This window comes from Homo sapiens, chromosome 16 (assembly GCF_000001405.40).
Source record: "Homo sapiens chromosome 16, GRCh38.p14 Primary Assembly".
NCBI lineage: Eukaryota > Metazoa > Chordata > Mammalia > Primates > Hominidae > Homo > Homo sapiens.
In genome coordinates this window covers 71,650,269-71,674,318 of record NC_000016.10, presented here as the reverse complement: position 1 = coordinate 71,674,318, position 24,050 = coordinate 71,650,269, and the positions used below count along the sequence as shown (strand labels likewise).

At 40.9% G+C, this 24,050-nt stretch overlaps 1 protein-coding gene, 1 long non-coding RNA gene and 1 pseudogene across 3 annotated transcripts in view, besides 1 other annotated feature; 1 reads left to right on the top strand and 2 right to left on the bottom strand.

Annotated features, from left to right (window-relative positions):
- Positions 1 to 3,519, bottom strand: part of LOC124903712 (uncharacterized) — a 28,774-nt gene extending 25,255 nt beyond the window's left edge. Inside the window, exon 1 of the long non-coding RNA XR_007065109.1 lies at positions 3,432 to 3,519. This is a non-coding gene — a long non-coding RNA (uncharacterized LOC124903712). The remainder of the gene's footprint in view (positions 1 to 3,431) is intronic.
- PHLPP2 (PH domain and leucine rich repeat protein phosphatase 2) overlaps positions 1 to 24,050 on the top strand; it is a 79,778-nt gene that overhangs the window by 50,383 nt on the left and 5,345 nt on the right. The window contains exons 10-18 of one of the 2 annotated variants that reach the window (NM_015020.3): positions 1,997 to 2,057; positions 4,949 to 5,044; positions 6,986 to 7,141; positions 10,220 to 10,420; positions 15,504 to 15,666; positions 15,956 to 16,086; positions 17,638 to 17,748; positions 18,885 to 19,079; positions 21,298 to 21,529. In NM_015020.3, coding sequence (NP_055835.2) covers positions 1,997 to 2,057; positions 4,949 to 5,044; positions 6,986 to 7,141; positions 10,220 to 10,420; positions 15,504 to 15,666; positions 15,956 to 16,086; positions 17,638 to 17,748; positions 18,885 to 19,079; positions 21,298 to 21,529 — 1,346 coding nt within the window. The remainder of the gene's footprint in view (positions 1 to 1,996; positions 2,058 to 4,948; positions 5,045 to 6,985; positions 7,142 to 10,219; positions 10,421 to 15,503; positions 15,667 to 15,955; positions 16,087 to 17,637; positions 17,749 to 18,884; positions 19,080 to 21,297; positions 21,530 to 24,050) is intronic. The other variant, NM_001289003.1, reaches the window with a different exon arrangement.
- Positions 3,439 to 3,733: an enhancer, noted in NCBI's record as "tiled region #2747; HepG2 Activating DNase matched - State 5:Enh". NCBI's record gives its function as "activates a minimal TATA promoter and a strong SV40 promoter by Sharpr-MPRA in HepG2 cells {active_cell/tissue: HepG2}" and the evidence as "EXISTENCE:reporter gene assay evidence [ECO:0000049][PMID:27701403]".
- On the bottom strand, positions 8,122 to 8,228 carry RNU6-208P (RNA, U6 small nuclear 208, pseudogene; annotated as a pseudogene).

Below are 24,050 nucleotides of genomic sequence, written 5' to 3'. Positions count from 1 at the left end.
TCACCTGAGGTCAGGAGTTCAAGACCAGCCTGGCTATTATGGTGAAACCCCATCTCTACTAAAAATACAAAAAATTAGCTGGGCATGGTGGCGCGTGCCTGTAATCCCAGCTATTCGGGAGGCTAAGGCAGGAGAATTGCTTGAACCCCGGAGGTGGAGGTTGCAGTGAGCCAAGGTCATGCCATTACACTCCAGCTTGGGCAACAAGAGCAAAGCTCCATCTCAAAAAAAAAAAAAAAAGTCTGCCACATATAAAGCAGAATGTAGGTTTGTTAAAAGCTATATGATAGGTGAAAGAGGGTTCATTATTTTATGCTCTTTATTTTTCTGTATCTGTAAACTAGATTATACAGATAAAAGTTGAGGACTTCTGTTTGCGTTGCCTTTTATTATGTTATAGAAGCTTCAAATTGTAGCTTAGATTAATTGCTTGGTCAGAAGAGTGTTAAAACTGGTGAGTGTTGACTTATGCTGTTTATAGATGCCTGACATTGTAGTAAGTCCTAGCTGTGGAGATTTTTGTTATCAGGCCCATCCCTATCCTTAATGTGTCTAAACAGTGAATTCCTGGCCCTACTGGAAAAGACCTCATCAACAGGCACACAGTCCTAAATATTTACTCTTTGTAAATATTTAAGTATGTACAGATAAATGAAATATTTTAATAGTATTTAAATACTTAAATACATGAAAAAGTCACCAGGATTCTATCACAGCAGTTAACTGAACAGGGCTTGTTTGAGGTCTGCTACTCCGTTTACAAAATCCTTAAATTCTACAACCTGGAAGAATTCACATAAAAACTTGCAGTTTTGATGCCTCAAAGTCAAGAACTCTGCTTTACAAAAAGAAGTTATCTAAATGTGATCAGTTAATATAGGGAAAGCACTGAACTTGACTAGTCATCAGGGATATGCAAATTGAAACTCCTGCGTGGCACCACTATACACCTACCAGAATGACTAGAATGGAAAGGCCTAAAAATCCCAGGGGCAGCTGTTGGAGTGTAAATTGGTACAACCACTTTGGAAAACTGTTCAGTAGTATCTGCTAAGGTGAACAGAAACATACCCTGTACCCAGCAGTGCCTCTTCTAGGCTTACGTTCAATATAAGGACTTATATTAGTCCACAAAAGACACGGACAAATATGTTCACAGAAGTACTATTCATAGTAACTGCAGACTGGAAAAGACTTAACATGTCATCAACTCTAAAATGGGCAAATAAATTGTGGTATATTCACATAAAATAATTTTTTACAGGCATGAGAATGAATGAGCTATAATCATATGCAACTGTATAAACAAATCCTGTAAGCATATTGTGGAGTGAATGAAGCCAGACAAGTAAATTATACATACTGTGTGCATATATTTATGTAGATAGGCAGAAATAATTATACATACTGCATGCATATGTTTACATAGATAGGCAAAAGTAATTATACATACCGCATGCATATATTTATGTAGACAGGTAAAAGTAATTTGGTACTTGGAGTCAGGACTCCTTGAGGGGAAGTGACTGGAAAGGGAAACATGGGGCAGTTCCCAGGGAGCTGGTAATGTTCTGTTTCTTGATCCGGGTGTTGGTTCCACTAGTGTGTTCAGTTTGTGAAAATTTACTGAATTGTTGCACTCTTCTGTATTTTTGTTATACTTCAATTAAAAGTTAAAATATTGCCAGTAAAAGTCTAATTATTTTTATCAAGTTAAAAAGCTAAGTAGTTACTGTTAACATTTAACTACTGCTTAATATTGTATAAAGGCAGTGCAGTACACAGGATCCTTCAATTAGCTGTTACATTTGTTTTTCAAGACAAATTGGGATCAGTTAGTCAAAGTGAGTTTTCAGTAGTTTTTGTCTTTAGCTCATCTTGGTAGAATACATCAGTTTTCTCTCTGGTGATTTCACTAAGCTACTTTTCCATTGTCAGCTCTCAGTTACTTTCTTTTTTAGAGGATGTCACTAACACCTGTTTGTTTTTGGATTAGGGCTGACAGCAGTGAACGTCTATCCAGTACCCAGCCTGCTCACTTTCTTGGATCTCTCCCGGTGAGTGTCTTTCATGAGGGTGGCGCTTGCTTCTTACTATTTAAGAGATACATGTGGATTTTTTGGCAGTTTTGATGTACAAGAAATCTAAGTATTTTGAAATACTTGGATAACCTGGAAAAAGGAGAAAGGATGAATGGACGAATAAGTTTAATAGCCTTACTGTATAAAGGAAGGATTCTCTTGAAATAGTAAGGTGTCTGTGAATTACTCTTTCTTAAAGACTATAGATGTAGGATGAGATGCAAACAAGGAAGACCTGTTATCTTCAAGGCACTGATTCCCGTTTTGTCAGTTGGAATCAGATAATTCTTGATTTTTAGATAGTGGGTGTTTGTTTGTTTGTTTGAGACGGAGTCTTGCTCTGTCGGCCAGGCTGGAGTGCAGTGGCGTGATCTCGGCTCGCTGCAAGCTCTGCCTCCCGGGTTCACGTCATTCTCCTGCCTCAGCCTCCCGAGTAGCTGGGACTAAAGGCGCCCACCACCACGCCTGGCTAATTTTTTGTTTTTTTAGTAGAGATGGGGTTTCACTGCATTAGCCAGGATGGTCTGGATCTCCTGACCTTGTGATCTGCCTGCCTTGGCCTTCCAAAGTGCTGGGATTACAGGCGTGAGCCACCGAGCCCAGCCAGATAGTGGGTTTTTAAAATATTATTTAATTTTTTTGTACTCCTATAACTCATGTTGGTCTTATTTTTGAAGGGACATTAATTATATTCAGGATTTTATTACTTTTTATTCATTTATAACCACTGTTGGGCATTCTGGGTTCAGCGGTAGAGTTTTGCAGTCTAGTGGCAAGATGAACAATCAAACAAGCAGTGACAGGGCAGCATCCTAAGTGCTGTGAGTACAGGGTGCCCAAAGCAGATCAAAGGGGCAGTGGGCAGGGTCCTATTTGGTCAGGGTTGTTGTGAAGACTGAGTGAGATGATAAATGCAAAATGCATAAGATAGTACCTGACGTGTAGTCATCTCAAGAAATACTAACTGTTGTAGCCAGGTTTCTTTTTGTTGATTTCGTTACTTTATCATTATCATTTTAAGCTAATGTTTTAGATTCCCTTCCATTTCTTCCTGCTTATCTTCCCAGCAAAACCCCAGCATGGATCAGTACTAAAATTTTACCTTTTCCGTTGAGCTTGATCATTGCCGAAGAAAATCACATCCAAGTAGACACCACTACAAACTCAAAATTTCCAACCTCATCTGGAGCTTATTGGTTCTTTGTCTTGCCAGCTCCTTCCAGTGTCCTCAGCATCTACCTCCCTCAGTGTCCCCCTCCCCAGTCTCCTCCATGCTGGAACTTAGCTTCCTACTTGATTGGGAAAATAGAGGCCATTGTGGGCAATTTCCCTCAGCTTCCAAACACCCACCTTGCTTGAATTTATATAGATGCGTATTCATTCTCAGCTTCTCTCCTCTGTTCATGGCCAGTCCAGCTGTCTGTGCCTGTGACTCCTCCACTCCCACTGCCCTGGACCTTGCACTGTTCGTCGTCATTATTGTCCTCCTCTCTCCCCCTCCTCTTCCCCTCCTCTCGTGTGTGTGTGTGTGTGTGTGTGTGTTTTCAGCCTCTTTTTTCTTAGTCTGTACACATACTTTGTCTCTTCTGTCATAACAAAGTTCCCTTTACCTCACAATCCCCCTAACTATTTTCTTAATTCCTTTCTTCCCCCTTTTGTCCAAATTTCTCAAGAATTATGTGCATTTGTTGGCTTAGTTTCTTCAGTCCCCATCTGCTTATCCCTCTAACAGCTCAGTTTAGTTCTGCTCTTATTGGAACTTTTCTGTGTTGACACAGTTAATTTTGCTCTCTTTTCTCCAAACATGCTTTTTCCTTGGCTAGCTAATACAGTCTGATTTTTTTTCATGCCACTTTGGCCATGTTTCTTTTGCATACCCTTCTTCCTCAGCTAGCCCTTTAAAGGTCGATTATCCCCAAGGTTCTGTCCTTGGTCTGCTATACTTCATTGGACGTGACCTCATTTACTGCAGTTATTTCAGCTACACTCAGATCTCCAGCCCAGGCCGTCTCCTCCGGGTGCTCCAGCATCACCAAGCTGCTTGTTATTCCCCATACACATCATATGTTTCTTCTCTTGCCTCTGTGCTCTAGCTCATGTTGCCACCCTGTGCTTGGAATGTGCTCCTCACCTCAGGCCTTTGTACAACATCTTCATATTCTAACCCACATATTTCTTAGAGAGCTTGTTTTGATCCATTTTAGGTAAAGGGTTTCCTTCACTAAGGTATAGCAATATGTGTGTTTCTCTTACATAGCGCTGCTTCATTCTGCCTCATTATATCGCTTGATAAACCTGTAGATACCTTGAGGCCTAGAGAAGCTGTCACATCTGAAAAAAAATTCTCTTGACTAAATATCTGCCTAGTGCTCTACTAATTATTTGAGCTCACATTCTAAATGGTTTGAAACTTTTCCCCCACTAGTTATCTTTTGCTTCTACTGTCTCACTTGTATTCATTCTGTTAATTTTCCCTGGAATTTGCTTCTCTTCTCACCCAGTCATTACCTGTGGAAGTCTTAACTCATCTTTGAAGGTTTGTTAATTATAATTCCTTGTCTTTCCCTCATCCCATCCCACCACAAGTGTGCTTTTCTATTGCAGAAAGCCTTTTTATCTTCTTTGAGCATGCAACATAATTGATCCAGTATTATACATTTTCAGGTACTTGTCTCTCCTCTCCCTTCTAATTCAGCAGCATTCAATGAGCACCTACTATATTCCAGGCAGTGTTCCAAGGGATGCCTTGGAGACAGTGTTCCTGCCCTCAAGGGCTCACAGGCTGGTTAATGGATACATTATAGCCTACTGAAATGAGTTCCACTTGTCATCTTAAATGGTGCCATTTAATTATTTATTTTCTGCAGAAACCTGCTAGAGTGTGTCCCTGACTGGGCCTGTGAAGCAAAGAAGATAGAAGTATTAGATGTGAGCTATAATCTTCTCACAGAGGTTCCCGTGAGGTATGTGTGCCTGGATGCATATATTATGTATATACTAACATTTACGTGTGTGCGTATTTAAATTTTTTTCTAGATTTGGGTTGCCTTTTATTTGTTCAGTGTGTTGAGTACCTGCTGAGCATGAGGCAGTGTGATGTGCTGTAAGGAACATAGTAAAGGCTAAAGCATGGGCTTGGCTTGCAAGGAACTTAATGAGAAGATAGTGTAACATATGTGGATAACTGTGATGAAATAAATACACTAAGAGTTGCTGCCATAGGTTGGTGACATGATAGTAATAATAGTTAATTTTTATAGGATGAGCTATTATAAGCTGAGCAATGTTCTAAGAACATCACTTTTATGATCTTACCTAATCCTTTAAAAACCTTATCATATATTTAATAGGTGCTGTTATCTTCATCTTAGAAATGAGGAATGTAAAGCTTAGAGCAGTTAGGTAACTTGTTGAAGGTTACACTTAACCAGGAAGTGACGGGAGCTGGCATTTGAAGGTAGTCTTTTTTTTTTGGAGACAGGGTCTCATTCTGTCACCCAGGCTGGAGTGTAGTGGCACAGTCACTCCTCACTGCAGCATCAACCTGCTGGGCTCAGGTGATTCTCTGTCCTCAGCTCCCCCTCAGTAGCTGGGACTATGGGTGCACACCACCACACCCAGCTAATTTTTGTATTTTTAGTAGAGACGGGGCTTTGCTATATTGGCCACACTGGTCTCAAACTCCTGGGCTCAAGCAATGGGCCCATCTCAGCCTCCCAAAGTGTTGAGATTACAGGCGTGAGCCACCACACCTGGCCTTGGATGTAGTCGTTTTTACTCCAGAGCCTTCACTCTTTTTTTTTTTTTTTTTTTTTTTTTTTTGAGACAGAGTCTCGCTCTATCGCCCAGGCTGGAGTGCAGTGGCGCGATCTCGGCTCACTGCAAGCTCTGCCTCCTGAGTTCACACCATCCTCCTGCCTCAGCTTCCGGAGTAGCTGGGACTACAGGCACATGCTGCCACGCCCGGCTAAATTTTTTTTTGTATTTTTAGTAGAGAACGGGGTTTCACCGTGTTAGCCAGGATGGTCTCGATCTCCTGACTTTGTGATCTGCCCGCCTCTGCCTCCCAAAGTGCTGGGATTACAGGCATGAGCCACCACCCCCGGCCAGAGCCTTCACTCTTAATCACTACACTGTATAAATTAAATGGAGAAAATCAGAAGAAATTTGAATAATTAGGGAATGTTTCATGGAGAAGATGGCATTTGAATTGACCTTTACTAGATGATGGGATTTTTCTAAGTGGTGGGAGAAAGAGAGTGGGGCTTGGTGAAGGCGGCAGGGAATGATACATTCCAAAGCATTGAGGTATAAAATGTTATTTTCTATGGAGTCTTTAAAATTAAACTAGAGGCGTTTAACATACTAAATATGAACACAATCTTTGGAGTCAAACCTTAATTCAAGTCCAGACTTTACCATTTACTATGCAGTGTGAAATCTTAGGCAAATCAAAGTTACTGAACCTTTCTGAATTAACTTCATTGTTAAGTGGCTTAGCACATTTTAAGCACTCCATAAATAGTAGTTTTTATTGTAATGAAATGTTATGAATTTATTCACAAGATGTGTTAATATTAATATACTGAATTTTTGGTGCTGCTTAGACTTAAAATCTAAATTGATTTATTCTAGAAATTGCCTTTTTAGTATAGATCTCCTCTGTGCTGTTTGCCTTCATTAATTCACCTTTTCTCAGAATGACCTTAATGACTTCCTGGTGGGTGGTAGGTAAACATATGGTCATAGCTGCTTTCTTGGCTCAGGCACTTGTCAGTGAGTATACAATCTAGGAGAATATGTTTCTATAAGTTAACTAATTTCAGTTAAATAGGCTAGGACAGCCTCAGAAAGAATGATTTAAGTAAGTTTTTAATGTGTTTGTTTGTATGCTCCCCCCTTAGAATTCTGAGTAGCTTGAGTCTTAGAAAACTGATGCTGGGACACAATCATGTGCAAAACCTTCCAACACTGGTAGAGCACATCCCCCTCGAGGTGCTGGATCTTCAGCATAATGCACTCACGAGGCTGCCAGACACCCTCTTCTCCAAGGCCTTAAAGTAAGTATCATAGGATTTTTTTCGGAAGAGCAGAATCATTGGCTAAACAGACTGCAGTGACTTATCATTGGAGTGACCTTTGGAACTGTATTTACAGAGCGTTTACCTAATAGTCCAACTATGAGTGGAGACTTATTTGCAATTTTTATGAAACAAAATATGACACTGTTTTATGAGGCAGTAACTCATAGTTGAAATAACTGTTAAATCCTTAAAGAGGTTTCTGTGTTGTAAACAATTTCAGACAGGTTGAGAAGATTCAGGCTTTCATCTCTGAAAATGAATATAGTTATGATATTTAAAGAGAAATTACAACATTCTGCTGTGGCTTCTTTGGGCAATTTTGAGCTTTTGCATTGGAGAGAAAAGGACGTACCACTAAAGTTAATTTGGTTTTTGCTCCTAGCTTTACCAAACCGCCTTTGAATTACAGTCTTTATGTGCAAACCTTTTTGTGTACTTTTTGAAAACTGTATTTACAGATAATGTCCTTCCAGAAGGTGTCATTTGCCTTCTCACTATAAATTAACAAATAGATGACATGTCTTCCTATTTTAGGCCTGTAATCAGGTTTACCTAATGTGTACATCACCTTTAAGTGAAAACTAGTTTTGTGGAGTTTATTTGTTTTTTGTGGGGTTTGTTTTGTTTGTTTTTTGCTTTTAGAGACATGGTTTCACTCTGTCACTCAGGCTGGAGTGCAGTGGTGCAATCATAGCTCACTGCAGCCTTGACCTCCTGGGTCCAAGTGATCCTTCCTCCTCAGCCTACTAAGTAGTTGGGACCACAGGGATGCACCACCACACCTGGCTAATTTTATTTTTTGTAGAGACACAGTTTCACCGTTTTGTTCAGGCTGGTCTCAAACTCCTGGACTCAAGTGATCTGCCTGTCTTGGCCTCTCAAAGTGTTGGGATTAACAGGCATGAGCCACTGCACCCAACCTGACAACTAGTTTTTTTCTTTTTCTTTTCTTTTTTTTTAATACGGAATGGTTCACAAATTTGCCTGTCATCCTTGCTCAGGGTCCATGCTAATCTTCTCTATATCGTTCCAATTTTAGTACATGTGCTGCCAAAGCAAGCACTGAAAACTAGTTTTTATTATATTTTTCTACAACGTGGAGAAAGCAATATTGTCTTCAATTTAGAAATGGAGAAAACAGAGGTGAGCAGAAGTAAATGAATAGGAGACGTAAAAAACTGTTTAGCCCACAGTTGTCTGGCTTGTTCTCTCTTTAGCAGCTTATACATCTCTTAATGTATAATACAGTTGATTGGATAGTCTTCAAAATAAAATCTTTGGAAATTCTAAAACGTATTTAAAGGAAGTTTTCTTTATGTAACATTTAATGGAGTATTGATGCAGTTGTTAATCTACAAATGTTTGTTAGCAATGCATAACGCTGCATTTGGTCCTTATGGTAGTCTGAATGAAATTAGTTTACAACCTTAGAATCTTTAGTGAGTAACTTAGCTGTAGCGAACTGTCAGTGGTATTTATTTAATACAAACTCTGGAAAGAGCTTTGTTGAGACCACAGCACAAGCAGACACACAGTACCTGCCATTAGCTTAAAAGCTAATTCGTTATGTAAAACTTATATTTCAATATAAAAAGTGAATCAGGGATTATGGATCATACAACATGAAGAAGACCTGAGAACACACAAGTTTAGTAATAATAGCTGCCTTTTATTGAGAATGTTCTGTATATACTAAACACTATGTTAGCAAATTTTAAAATTATACCATGTTTTATCTACTAGACTGGCAAAGATTAATGGATTTGTAATATTCAGTGTTGACAAAGGTGTGACAAACTGGCATTCTTAATAGTCTTCTTGTGGAAGTATAGTTTATTTTTTTTTGAAATGCAGTCTAGCTGTGTCGCCAGGCTGGAGTGCGGTGGCACGATCTCAGCTCACTGCAACCTCCGCCTCCTGGGTTCAAGCGATTTCTCCTGCCTCAGCCTCCCAAGTAGCTGGGATTACAGCCATGTGCCGCCACACTCAGCTTTTTTTTTGTATTTTTAGTAGAGATGAGGTTTCACCATGTTGGCCAGGATGTTAACCATCTCCTGACCTCGTGATCCACCCACCTTGGCCTCCCAAAGTGCTGGGATTACAGGCGTGAGCCACCTCGCCCAGCCGGAAGTATAATTTCATATACTCTTTCAAGAGCTCAGTTTGGCAATATATTAAATCTCTAAAAAATGTATATCCTTTGATCCCACAAATTCTGTTTTTAGGAATGTACCCTAAGGAAGTAATTGGTTAAGGATACAAAGATGCTCATTACAGTGTCTATAATAGCATGTGTATAGAAATGGAAACAGCCTATATGTTCTTTATTAGGGGATTATGGAATTGGCTGAATACATAATGATGCTATTAAAACCAGACAAAAAAATTTTTTTTTTCTTCTTTGAGATGGAGTCTCACTCTGTTGCCAGGCTGGAGTGCAGTGGCACGATCTCGGCTCACTGCAACCTCAGCCTCCTGGGTTCAAGCAATTCTCCTGCCTCAGCCTCCCGAGTAGCTGGGACTACAGGAGTGCACCACCACACCCAGCTAATTTTTGTATTTTTTTTTTAGTAGAGACGGGGTTTCACCATGGTGGCCAGGATGGTCTTGATCTCTTGACCTTGTAGTCTGCCCACCTCAGCCTCCCAAAGTGCTGGGATTATAGGCGTGAGCCACTGCGCCTGGCCCAGACAAAAGTTTTTCTAAATGGTGTCTTCACAGTTCAAAAACATGTGAACATGATATTCAGCAACATCCTTTCAGTAGGCAGTTTGAGAGTAAAAGATGAAGTTAGGTTAGAATCAGGCACTCCAGAAGCCTGGGAAAACAACCAGGCTTGTACTTTTTCCTCTCTACTTGGTTTGCATGAGTTGAGTAAAAGGAACTTTGGGTTGGATAGGATCAATTAGAGAAAAACTACGTGGAGATTTTTTTTTTTTTCCCATTTGGAAGCTTAGAATGGCAGCATTCCATACTGAGGTGACATGATGGTTTCTATATAGGAAGGCAGCAAATAAACTTAAAGGAGGTGATGATCTGTGTGTGTTCTGTCAGTCTCAGATACTTGAATGCATCTGCAAATAGTCTGGAGTCTTTACCATCCGCCTGCACTGGAGAGGAGAGTTTGAGTATGCTGCAGCTGCTTTATCTGACCAACAATCTCCTGACGGATCAGTGCATACCTGTCCTGGTAGGGCACCTGCACCTGCGAATCTTGCACCTTGCAAACAATCAGTTACAGACCTTTCCTGCAAGGTAAAATGAATGCAAACTTTGATCATTTCAAATACACAACATTAATTCTATATTTGTCAGAAAAAATATAGCCATCTGACTATGACTCTTTGTTTACGTTCACTGACTTACAGATGCTATGATTTCACTAGTTGAGTGGCAAAATCTCATCTTAATAGTTAGTACCCTGTTAAGTATTGGTAACCAGGAAAATTGGTTAAAATATGTTTAATTTTTAGTTGTGACTTCTTAATTATGGTCTAATAGTCAATCTAGAAAAGTACAGGCTTATGAAACAGATTCTGAAGACAATTTTTTCTTTTCTCTTGTCAGCACTGTTTTGTAAAATACTGTTATCTATTTATTCATAATACAAAAATGGAATGCTTACTATATGTCAAGTATTGTGAACAGTTACAGTCTCTGTCCTCTAGGAATGTATAGTCAAATTGGGAAAATAAACAAGTGGATGGGCAGTTGCAGTGCAGTCTAAGAAAGGCAGGGTGTTTGGCTGGGAGTGGTGGCTCACGCCTGTAATCCCAACACTTTGGGAGGCCAAGGCGGGCGGATCACAAGTTCGTGAGTTCGAGACCAGCCTGGCCCATATGGTGAAACCCCATCTCTACTAAAACTACAAAATATTAGCCGTACGTGGTGGCACATGCCTGTAATCACAGCTACTCGAGAGGCTCAGGCAGGAGAATTGCTTGAACCCAGAAGGCGGAGGTTGCAGTGAGCCAAGATTGCACCACTGCACTCCAGCCTGGGCGACAGAGTGAGACTGTGTCTCAAAAAAATAACTAAGTAAATAAAATAAATAAATAGAAAGGCAGGCTGTTAAAGACGATATGCATACATTGCCGGTCACACTGCACAGAGCCTGGGGATGGGGCTAGGCTCCCTGGAGGAAGAGATGAATAGTAGTTAGCCAGGCTATACCTATAAGAAGACATAAGAAAGATGTTTAATGCTGTGAAAGTTTGAGACAGTGTCAGTGGATAAGTAAATACCTTTCAAAGTACATTTGGTTAAAAAAAAAACAACTTTAGAACTTTTTTTTTAAGAGATGGGATCTCATTACGTTGGCCAGGCTGGTCTCAAACTCCTGGGCTGAAGTGATTCTCCTACCTCAGCCTCTCAAGTACCTGAAACTGCAGACACATGCCACCATGACCAGCTAAAACCTGGAAAATTTAACACCAGAAAAATCTATGCCATGAAGGTAGTCATTAAAAATAATATTTTCAAAAACTAAGAATGTGAGGCAATGACATTTGATATTAATAATTTTGGATGAAATTATATGTATGTAAATTATAAAATTATAATTTTTATGAACATTTACCATTTACAACATGAGATAGAGCTTCAGAAGACATACAGGAGAAACTTGATTGGAGTTCAGGTGATTCTCCTGCCTCAACCTTCCAAGGAGATGGGACTACAGGCATGCACCACCATACCCAACTTATTTATTTATTTATTTATTTGAGATGGAGTCTTGCTCTGTTGGCCAGGCTGGAGTGCTGTGGCGTGGTCTTGGCTCACTGCAACCTCTGCCTCCCAGGTTCAAGTGATTCTCCTGCCTCAGCCTCCCAAGTAGCTGGGATTATAAGCATGTGCCACCACACCTGGCTAATTTTTTGTATTTTTGTAGAGACAGGGTTTCACCATATTGGCCAGACTAGTCTCGAACTCCTGGCCTCGTGATCCGCCCACCTTGGCCCCCCAAAGTACTGGGATTACAGGTGTGAGCCACTGCGCCCGGCCCGCACCCGACTAACCTTTTACTTGTAGAGGCCGGGCGTGGCCGCTCATGCCTGTAATCCCAGCACTTTGGCAGGCCGAGGCGGGCGGATCACGAGGTCAAGAAATCAAGACCATTCTGGCCAACATGGTGAAACCCCGTCTCTACTAAAAATACAAAAATTAGCCAGGTGTGGTGGTGGGCGCCTGTAATCCCAGCCACTTGGGAGGCTGAGGCAGGAGAATCGCTTGAACCCCGGAGGCAGAGGTTGCAGTGAGCCAAGATCGTATCACTGCAACTCCAACCTGGCAACGGAGCAAGACTCCATCTCAAAAAAAACAAAACAAAACAAAACAAACTTGTGTAGGTGGGATCTCGCTGTGTTGTCCAGGCTGGTCTTGAACTCCTGGCCTCAAGTGATCATCTCACCTTAGCCTGCCAAAATGCTGGGATTATAGGTGTGAACCACTGTGCCTGGTCAGCCTCCTTGAAAGAATTAAAACAATGACTTTTTACTTTTACATTTTTTTTTAATGACTTCTAAAATGAATGCAGAATCTTAATTTCAGGGTGTGGTAGCTCTCTTGAAATTTTATCAGATTAACCTAATTGACCTCAAATATGTTCATATAAAGTGAAAATAATAGACCACTGGAAGCTGTTGGATGGTACCAGGCATAATGCTGTAAAACCTAATTTGATGACACTTTTATTGTTGGAGGGGTCAAAAGCAGGTTGATATAAAACTTAAAACATATCAAAGAAAATGAAAATAAGAAGTTAGTAATAAAGACAAGAATTAGGCCTGGCACGGTGGCTCACGCCTGTAATCCCAGCACTTTGGGAAGCTGAGTTGGGTGGATCACGTGAGATCAGGAGTTTAAGACCAGCCTGGGCAACATGGTGAAACCCTGTCTCTACTAAAAATACAAAAATCAGCTGAGTGTGGTGTTGTGTGCCTGCCTGTAATCCCAGCTACTCAGGAGGCCAAGGCATGAGAATCGCTTCAACCTGGGAGGTGGAGGTTCCAGTGAACTGAGATTGCGCCATTGCACTGCAGCCTGGGCAACAGAGCGGGACCCTATCTCAAAAAAAAAAAAAAAAAGACAAAGACAAGAATTAACATCACAAAAAATAGAGTAATCTGAATATATATAATAAAACTGAATGGAATTCAGGAACAACATATTTTTAAAAATGTGTGTTCTGTACTAAATAATAAATCCACTATCAGTTCATTTCCTGAGCAGTGTTGTAATTGTATAGGCACAATAGAAATCTTGTTTGTTTCTTTTGAACTATTTTCAGAATCTAGCACAGTTCTGGGTACTCAGAAACTGATTGAGGAGGCTGCATTTCTATTTACAAGTCAGAAAAATCCAGGCAGGATAAGGGAAAAAAGCACGAGATTTGGACATGGGAACACTTTTAAAATATATTGTTAAATAAAATCATAAATACAATGTATAGGCCGGGCGCAGTGGCTCACGCCTGTAATCCCAGCACTTTGGGAGGCCGAGGTGGGCAGATCACGAGGTCAGGAGATCGAGACCATCCATCTCTACTAAAAATACAAAAAATTAGCCGGGCATGGTGGCGGGTGCCTGTAGTCCCAGCTACTTGGGAGGCTGAGACAGGAGAATGGTGTGAACCCAGGAGGCAGAGGTTGCAGCGAGCCAAGATTGCGCCACTGCACTCCAGCCTGGGCAACAGAGCAAGACTCCATCTCAAAAAAAAAAAAAAAAAAAAAATACAGTGTATATAATATAGTACCTTTTTTTTTTTTTTTTTTTTTTTTTTGAGACAAGGTCTTGTGTCACCCAGGCTGGTGTGCAGTGGTGCAGTAATAACTCACTGCAGCCTCAAACTCCTGGGCTCAAGCGACTGACCTGCCTTAGCCTCTGAAAGTACTGGGATTACAAGTGTGAGCCACCACACCTACCTGGCCTATAATACCATTTTTTAATTTGAAAAGTGTAGTTTCATGCCTTAAGAAAGACGAGAATACTATCTACTAAAATGTTATCAGAGATTATTTAATTTATTTTAATGAAGTAGCATTAAAAGATTTTTTTTCCTGTTTGTCTCTATTTTTCAGTTTTTTTCAGTGAGTATATATTATTTTTATCAGAAAAAATAATTGTAATTTACAAAGCTTAGTTATTTAAAAATATGAAATTTCTAGGAGTAGAAATTATTTATGATATGTTATATGAAAAAGGCAAGATATAAAATTTTTGTAAAACAAATATATGAAACATTTGATAGGAAATTCAGCAAAATGATAAAAGTGATTCTTTCAGATTGCTGGTATTGGTGATGTATTTCTTTATTTTTCACTTTCTCTCCATGTTAACAGCAGTTTATTATTTTTGTAATTTTTAAACCAATAAATCAAAATAAATTAGAACTATTTGTAATAACCTGAAGGTGTTAGTCTCACTTAAGTTATTTTGCTTACCATGTAGAAAGCTTTGCTCAGTCATGGAACAGTGTGAATCACTTGCCTCACAGCACAGTGCTGTGTGTATAATAAGAACTTGATAAATGTTTAGTGGAGATGAGTTAATGTCATGAATGGGTAAGTATAGAAATTTAAAACTGTAAAGAATCTTAGTGATGGGCCGGGTGCGGTGGCTCATGCCTATAATACCAGCACTTTGGGAGGCTGAGGTGGGCAGATCACCTGAGGTTGGGAGTTTGAGACCATCCTGGCCAACATGGAGAAACCCTGTCTCTACTAAAAATACACAATTAGCCGGGCGTGGTGGCGCATGCCTGTAATCCCAGCTACTCGGGAGGCTGAGGCAGGAGAATTGCTTGAATCCAGGAGGCAGAGATTGTGGTGAGCTGAAATCAGGCCATTGCACTCCAGCCTGGGCAACAAGAGTGAAACTCCATCTCAAAAAAAAAAAAAAAAAAAAATCTTTGTGATGATTTAGTACAACCTCATTTTTCATTTTTTACAGCTGAGGGTATTAAAGACTGCTGACATTGACTTACTTAGTATTTTGCCGCTAGTTAGTGGTAAAGCAAGCATCAAGACTAATCCCCCAACTTGAGGCCACTCCTTTTCTAGCCACTTTTTGTACATTAGGTAACAGGAAGATGTTCCTGCCCACAAGATCCAACAGCCCTTGAAACACACTGAGGCAGATCAGGCTTAGTTATAGCAGGAGTAGTTATCTTCTTGAGCCATTGCCTTTCCTGGTATTCCTGGTATCGGTTTCATTTCTCACCAGTCATCTGGCAGTGGACCGTGTCGGCCTTCTGTACTCTGTGGCTGCTGTAGAATAGCACTTCCTTGGCAGCTGCTCAGTCTTGGTGCATTATAGTATTCTGTTGTTTCTTTTTCAGCAAACTAAATAAATTGGAGCAATTGGAGGAACTGAACCTAAGTGGCAACAAGCTTAAAACCATTCCCACAACCATAGCAAACTGTAAAAGGCTGCACACCCTTGTTGCACACTCCAACAACATCAGCATTTTCCCAGAAATACTGCAGTTGCCTCAGATCCAGGTACTTCTGTGTGCTGGAATGATGTCCTTATTGGGGGAAATGGCAGGAGAGTGAATGACATTATTTTCCTTTTATAAAGAAGAAGAAAGGAGTGTGAATGAGATTATTCTTATAAGGAAAAATATTATTGTCTTCTTATGTGCTCCAGTTTGGGACCAGAATTTATGTAATGGATTCCTGGGAAGAAATTAAGTTCCTCTTTGGGGATATAGTAAGAGATTGGACACTTGGGAGTAAAGAACTAAGTCTCTGTGATGTATTTTCTTTTGATTTCTCAATTTTTTCTTAGTTTGTAGACCTAAGTTGCAACGACTTGACAGAAATCCTGATTCCAGAGGCTTTGCCTGCTACATTACAAGACCTTGACCTGACTGGAAATACAAATCTGGTTCTGGAACACAAGACACTGGACATATTTAGGTAGGAAAAAATTTGAAATGGAATCTCTATGTGCTCTTAGCCCACCAGCCATGTGTAGGTCTTCCTTAGTACTGTGGAGATCTTGATTAATTAAAAGAACAGAATGAAGTTAGGCTATAAAGCCCCTAGGTTCTCTTCTTTGATTAAGTTATGAATAGATGTTCTATCCAGTAGTCAACCTGTTTATATTAGGACTACTCCATGGCTACTACCCCCCAACATACTGAATATTTTCACAACAGGCATAGATGTTTTAGGTGGCACAGATTATATAATATCTAAGAGACAATACAAGTTCATCCATTGTACCAAGACTTCATTGTATCAAAATACTTAACATAAATAGATGGTTGGCTAAAACATAGAAATCTTTGTTGTGCTTAGTTTTTTATTGAAACTCCTACCCCTTTGATCCTCCTACCCCTTTCCTTTCTCTCCCCTCCTTCTTTGCCAGTAGTTCAGCATACTACTTTCATCAGTCTCTCTGGAAATGAATCTTAGTCAGTCCATAGATTATTTTATTAAAAGATAATATTATTGGCCGTGTGCGGTGGCTCACGCCTGTAATCCCAGCACTTTGGGAGGCCAAGGTGGGTGGATCACGAGGTCAGGAGATCGAGACCATCCTGGCTAGCATGGTGAAACCCCGTCTCTACTAAAAATACAAAAAATTAGCCGGGCGAGGTGGCGGGCGCCTGTAGTCCCAGCTACTCAGGAGGCTGAGGCAGGAGAATGGCGTGAACCCGGGAGGCGGAGCTTGTAATGAGCAGAGATCACGCCACTGCACTCCAGCCTGGGCGACACAGCGAGACTCCTTCTCAAAAAAGAGAAAAAAAAAAAGATAATATTATTGTTGGCCGGGCGTGGTGGCTCACGCCTGTAATTCCAGCACTTTGAGGGGCCAAGGTGGGTGGATCACCTGAGGTCAGGAGTTTGAGACCAGCCTGGTCAACATGACAAAACTCCATCCCTATTAAAAATACAAAAATTAGCCGGGAGCGGTGGCTCACACCTGTAATCCCAGCACTTTGGGAGGCCGAGGCGGGCGGATCACTTGAGGTCAGGAGTTCGAGACCAGCCTGGCCAACATGGTGAAACCCCGTCTCTACTAAAAATACAGAAATTAGCTGGTTGTTACGGCAGGTGCCTGTAATCCCAGCTACTTGGGAGGTTGAGGCAGGAGAATCGTTTGAACTCAGGAAGCGAAGGTTGCAGTGAGCCGAGATTGCGCCACTGCACTCCAGCCTGGGCAACAGAGGGAGATCGTCTCAAAAAAATAAATAAATAAAATAGAATAAAATAAAGAAATACAAAAATTAGCCGGGCATGGTGGCATACACCTGTAATCTCAGCTGCTTAGGAGGCTGAGGCAGGAGAATTGCTTGAACCGGGAGGCAGCAGTTGCAGTGAGCTGAGGTCACACCACTGCACTCCAGCCTGGGTGACAAGAGGGAGACTCCATCTCAAAAAAAAAAAAAGAATACTATTGTTGGGATAGTTTTTGTAAAATACAGAAGAATATATGGTTTAATCTTCCTTCACCTCCCACAGCCATATCACAACCCTGAAAATTGATCAGAAACCTTTGCCAACCACAGATTCTACAGTTACGTCAACCTTCTGGAGCCATGGACTGGCTGAGATGGCAGGGCAGAGAAATAAGTGAGTATATTGGCCATGGAGACTGAGAAAGAAAAAAGGCAGCCCCTGGCATCTGAGAACTGGCCTGATGCTCATAATAGCTAGGCCATGTTGTTCTGTTGTACACAGACAAATCATAGAACATCAGCGTCAGATAAGATCCCTTTGGGATCATGATAACGTTTTAAGACAAAAACAATACTAATGTGTAGTCAACAGAATACCAAACACCCCCTTTCATGGCTAAGATGGGTAGATGCTACTTTCTTTACCAGTTACAGCTTTATCCTTCTGCTAATTTTCCTTCCCTATAGATAAGTTTTATACCCAGCAATAGAATGGCCTCACTTTCTGATGACACCCAGTCTAGTATGATCCTCTTCCTTAGACCCTCCCCAAAGTGACCAAACCAAAGTCCAAACCCTATACTGGGTTCTTTTCAGCAAGACTTACCTGTATACCCCGGGGTTCCATGGGGTGCACTCTCATTTGCTATAAGGGGTAATAAACTCAACTTTTTCAACCATAGGTGTGCTCTGGTGGTCTTTGACTGATAGGCCTTGACAAAGCTAATCCTTAGTCACTACTAAGAGAAAGTGCTTTATCTTACCAGCCTTTGGCAGCATTGCAAAGCTAATATGTACTGCCCATGAATGCGACTGTTTCCCCTTTCCTTAGGACATTAGCTCTTTCAGATGTTGCTTAATTATCATGTCTAGGGACTTTTCTTACGTGTAGATTACGATTTGCTAGTAGTCTTTGCCACCTTTAATTAATACTTACTTTTTAAAAGAATGCTCCTGGCCAGGCGCGGTGGCTCACACCTGTAATCCCAGGACTTTGGGAGGCCAAGGTGGGCGGATCATGAGGTCAGGAGATCAAGACCATCCTGGCTAACATCTCTACTAAAAATACAAAAAAATTAGCCCAGCGTGGTGGCAGGCACCTGTAGTCCCAGCTTCTCGGGAGGCTGAGGCAGGAGAATGGCGTGAACCTGGGAGGTGGAGCTTGCAGTGAGGCAAGATCATGCCACTGCACTCCAGCCTGGGTGACAGTGCAAGACTCCCTCTCAAAAAAAAAAAAAAAAAGAATGCTCCCTGGAGAATAATATTTTACCAGTAACTTTTCTGTTTTCTGTTTTCATGTTTCTATTATAGGCTGTGTGTCTCAGCACTTGCTATGGATAGCTTTGCAGAGGGGGTGGGAGCTGTGTATGGCATGTTTGATGGAGACCGAAATGAGGAGCTCCCGCGCCTGCTGCAGTGTACGATGGCAGATGTGCTTTTAGAAGAGGTACAGCAGTCAACTAATGACACAGTTTTCATGGCTAACACCTTCTTGGTATCTCACAGGTAAGCAGGTGGGTTGAAAAATCCCTAACTCAGTTCTACTTTTGGAAAATATATTTTTCTAAACCAGAAGGTCAGGGTCTAAATTATGGATACAGGATCAAGGAGAGAACTCACGTTGTTGTCTTCTATGATCATTCTCTATATGAGCATGGAGTGCGGGGACTTCGGCTCTTTCAAAAGCCTGTGGGGGTCATCTGTTTTCTCTGTTGAATCCAAAGGCTGCTGAGGATCTGGGAAGCCCAGAATTTATGTGCAAAATGTTGTGTGTGTATATATATGTGGTTGTACATTTTGAGGAGGAAGGTGGTCAGCTTTCATAAGATTGTCCAAGCAGTCAGTGACCTACAAAACAGTTAACCAAATACTTATCAGATTGATAACGTTTAGAATGCCTCTTTCTGGGGTTTTACCAAACTAATCTTCTAAGTAAAGTATAAGCCACTTAAGGGCAAAAACCATATACAGATGCTCCTCAACTTAGAATAGGGTTACACCCTGATAAGGATGTAAGCCTGACATCATAAGTTGAAAATGTGGTAAGTAGAAACTACATTTAATACACCTAACCTAACGAACATCATGGCTTCACCTAGCCTACGTTAAGTGTGCTCAGAACGCTTACCCCATTAGCTTATAGTTGGGCAAAATCATGTGGTGACACAGGGCACTGTATTGGTTGTTTACCCTTGTGATCAAGTGGCTGGCTGGGAGCTATGGGTCGCTACCTCTGCCCAGCATCATGAGAGAACATCGTACCACATGTCACTAGCCCAGGAAAAGATCAAAATACAAAGTACAGTTTCTACTAAATGCATACAGTATTGCTTTTGCACCATCGTGAAGTCAAAAAATCTTAAGTTGAACCATCATAAGTTGAGGACATCTGTATAACCTAACTGTAATGGAGCATTTGCATGTCAGGTGGACCGATAAAGGATAGGAACAACTGAGAGGTTGTTTGTCAACTTGTATAATCCAGGTTGAAATGGAACAGCTTGGAGCTTGAACTAGTTTTTTTTTTTTTTTTTTTTTTTTCTTTTTTGAGACGGAGTCTTCTTGCTCTGTCCCCCAGGCTGGAGTGCAGTAGTGCAATCTCGGCTCACTGCAAGCTCCGTCTCCCGGGTTCACGCCATTCTCCTGCCTCAGCCTCCCGAGTAGCTGGGACTACAGGTGCCCGCCACCTCACCCGGCTAATTTTTTGTATTTTTAGTAGAGATGGGTTTTCACCGTGTTAGCCAGGATGGTCTCGATCTCCTGACCTCGTGATCTGCCCACCTCGGCCTCCCAAAGTGCTGGGATTACAGGCGTGAGCCACTGCACCAGGCTAATTTTTTGTATTTTTAGTAGGGATGGGGTTTCACCGTGTTAGCCAGGATGGGCTTGAATTAGTTTTATCTGTCATAACACAAAGCAAAGTGTTAGGAAGAAGTCAGTTTTTCAGTAGTATAATTGAGCTAGAGACTTTGCAAAAATAAAGGGTTTAGGAAAGGGAACTCCATTTATGAAGCAACTCAAGCCAGGAATTGTAGCAAGTATTTTCCATGCTATATATTTTATCAGAGAAATTTCCTGGAGAAATGGCTTGCTGAGTGTCTGTAGCCAGAAAATGGCAGAGCTGAGATTTGAAACTAGGTCTTTCTGCTAGTGTCTGTTCCTCGTTAACATTGTTTCCAAGTACAGACGCGTGGATGCCCTGCATATGGGGGAAATGCAAGAATCATGGTCCTTCCCTCGAGGAACTTAGAACCTAAGTGAGTGGTTCTCAAAGTGTTGTTCTAGGAACAGCAGCCTCTCAGCCTCACCAGAAATTGCTTAAAGTATAGTTTATTGGGCCAGCCTCTTACCCACTGATTCAGAAACTCTGGGCCTAGGGCCCAGCAGTCCCTGTTCTGACAAGCCCTCAGGGGATTCTGATGTGTTAAAGTTTGAGAGCCCCTGAATTAGGAAGTCTTTGATCAGACACAAAAGCTATGGAGAAAGATGCAAAAGGGAGATTATCTCCCTTTTGTAAAACCTTTTCCTCAGCGAGAGTGGAAGGCAGAACTGTCTCCACCACCATCAGCCACAGCAAGTCTGCATTTAGGTGGATAAGGGTAAGGCTGGTTCACGATCACATGGTAAAAAAAAAAAAAAAAAAAAAGAAGGGATGTACGTGCAGGACCACCACTTTCTTCTAAAACTAGCCACCACGTCTTCTTTTCCTTTTCTTTCTGAACAGGAAATTAGGAATGGCTGGCCAGAAGTTGGGCTCCTCCGCTCTCCTGTGCTACATCCGCCCTGACACTGCCGATCCAGCAAGTAGCTTTAGCTTGACTGTAGCCAATGTTGGCACGTGCCAAGCAGTCCTGTGCCGAGGTGGGAAGCCAGTGCCCCTCTCTAAAGTCTTCAGCCTGGAGCAGGACCCAGAGGAGGCTCAAAGGGTGAAGGACCAAAAAGCCATCATCACAGAGGTGTGTTCCGCTCCCCGCCAGTCACTTCTGCTCCCCAAATCAGTGGAGGCTGCTTTGTGTAGAGGTGATGAAGGCCCATTTTCTTCCTATCATGCCCTGTAAATTGTATCCAATCCAGATAAAAGTTCAATGCAGATGGTTTCAGCAACAGTACTGGAGGAAAATCTGATCAGTTAGTGACTAGCACAAAGAAAAAGCAAAGTGAATTAGAAATACAAAATCCTAATTTGTGATCCTGTATATTGATAGCTGGGTTGTAAGATGGATGTTAAATATCTGCCTTAGCTAATTTCCAGCTCATCTGGTTTGTTATTCCAAATAGAAGAAAGAGTTCTCTAGTTTGACATCCCCATTCTGAAATGCAAAGTTTCAAAATGTTTTGTGTTTATACTCTATGTGGTGTAGTATGCTCTGGTGTTCTCTTTTGATAATGAAACATCAGTATTTCTACTGTTTTATAGCTTTTCTCCTTTTTTAGAAATTAACATTTTTGCTTTCAGAAGAACTTTAGCAATTACTTGTGAACATTGTTTATCACAAAGTGGAATTCCGTGATGAATTCCGTTCAGATCTTTTGAGAACTGTAAATTGGATTGTTTGTTTCTGTATTGTTGAGTTTTAAGAGTCTTTGTATATTTTGGAAACAAGTTCTTTATCAGATACCTGTTTTGCAAATATTTTCTCCCAGTCTGGGGCTTGTCTTTCCATTCTTTTAACAGTGTTTTTTTGCAGAGCTTTTAGTTTTAATGAAGGCCCACCTGTCAGTTTTTATCTCATGGATCGTGCTTTTGGTATTGTATCTAAAACTCATCGCCAAACCCAAGGTCACCTAGATTTTCTTCTGTGTTATCTTCTAGAAGTTTAGTTTTGTGTTTTACATTTTGGTCCATGGTCTGTTTTGAGTTAATATTTGTGAAAAGTGTAAGCTCTGTATCTATATTCATGTTTTGCATGTAGGTGTCCTCTTGTTCCAGGACCATTTGTTGAAAAGACTATCCTTTGTATGGTCTTTGCTCTTTGATTTTCAGAGATCAGTTGACTGTATTTGTGTGGGTCCATTTCTGGGCTGTTTTGTCAGAATTCTATATTAGAGTTCATCTAAGGAAACAAAATCAAAAACCATCATTTTTATGTGATTGATACTATTAGAATTCTGGAAGTATGAGGCATTAGTTTTGGGAAGCTCTTTCAGTCAAAACAAATGAAAGATAAAAGATAGTGTTTTAAATTTTTAGTTATTTTATTTTTATTTTTTTTAGAGACAAGGTCTTGCTGTGTTATCCAGTTTGGACTTGAACTCCTGGATTAAGTGATCCTCCTGCTTTAGCCTCCTGAGTAGCTGGGACTATAGGCACATGCCACTGCGCCTGGCTTCAGATAACTTTTTGTTTGACTAGTCTTTTTATAGAATTTGGATAATGTTTAGATTTTTCTTTTCTTTTTTTTTTTTTGAGGCAGAATTTCGTTCTTATTGCCTAGGCTGGAGTGCAATGGCGTGATCTTGGCTCACCACAATCTCCACCTCCCAGGTTCAAGCGATTCTCCTGCCTCAGCCTCCCGAGTAGCTGGGACTATAGGCATGCGCCACTATACCTGGCTAATTTTGTGTTTTTAGTAGAGATGGGGTTTTTCCATGTTGGTCAGGCTGGTATCCAACTCCCATCTCAGGTGATCCGTCCACCTCGGCCTCCCAAAGTGCTAGGATTACAGGCGTGAGCCACCGTCCCTGGCCAATGTTTAGATTTTTCTTAGGGGATTGTAGACAAGTAGGAAGTATTTTTATAAATGTTATTTTAGCCACAAGCATTTATTGTTTGTCCATTATTTGCCAAACACCATACCTTTATTATTTTCCTTAATCTTAACAGTAACTCCCATGAATTGTTGGGCCCTAGCCCCAGAGTTTCTAATTCAGTGGGTAGTTGTTAAACTCCCATTTTCATTTTACAGATGAAGAAAGTACAGTTTAGAGTTTATGACAAATTCTGGCGAATAAGCTCAGGTCTTCTCCCAGAGGGTGATTGCAACTGTGATATTAATTTATTGATGACTTTAGAGTTTTGTTTTGTATTTTTTTCGTTTCTTGAAATCAGTACAACAAAGTGTCTGGCTTGTGAGCATTCCCAACCTGCAAGCAGGGTTACTCTGTTTCCTCTAAGTTTTGAATTACAGGGATTTTGATTTGATCGCTATTTATTCTTGATACAGTCCCCAGAGCATAGGTAAATTATGCTGCACATCTCAGACTCCCCTTTTTTAGGCTGAATAACCTTAGAGATTATTTGATGCCTTAACTGCCAAGATTGTCTTTGCCATTGGTATCTTTTCAGTCCCAGCTGACATCCCTTTAAGTGAGAAATCACTTTTAGTGACCTTTCTGTTTCATCCTCTCTGAGAGTACTAGTGATAGAGAATTAATGATAGTTCTGCTTACTGTTTTTCTGTCATGTTTCTCTATTTATAGACATACTGAGGCCTGTTCTTCATGTTAAAGCAAACATCTTTTGGGATGGTGGTGCCT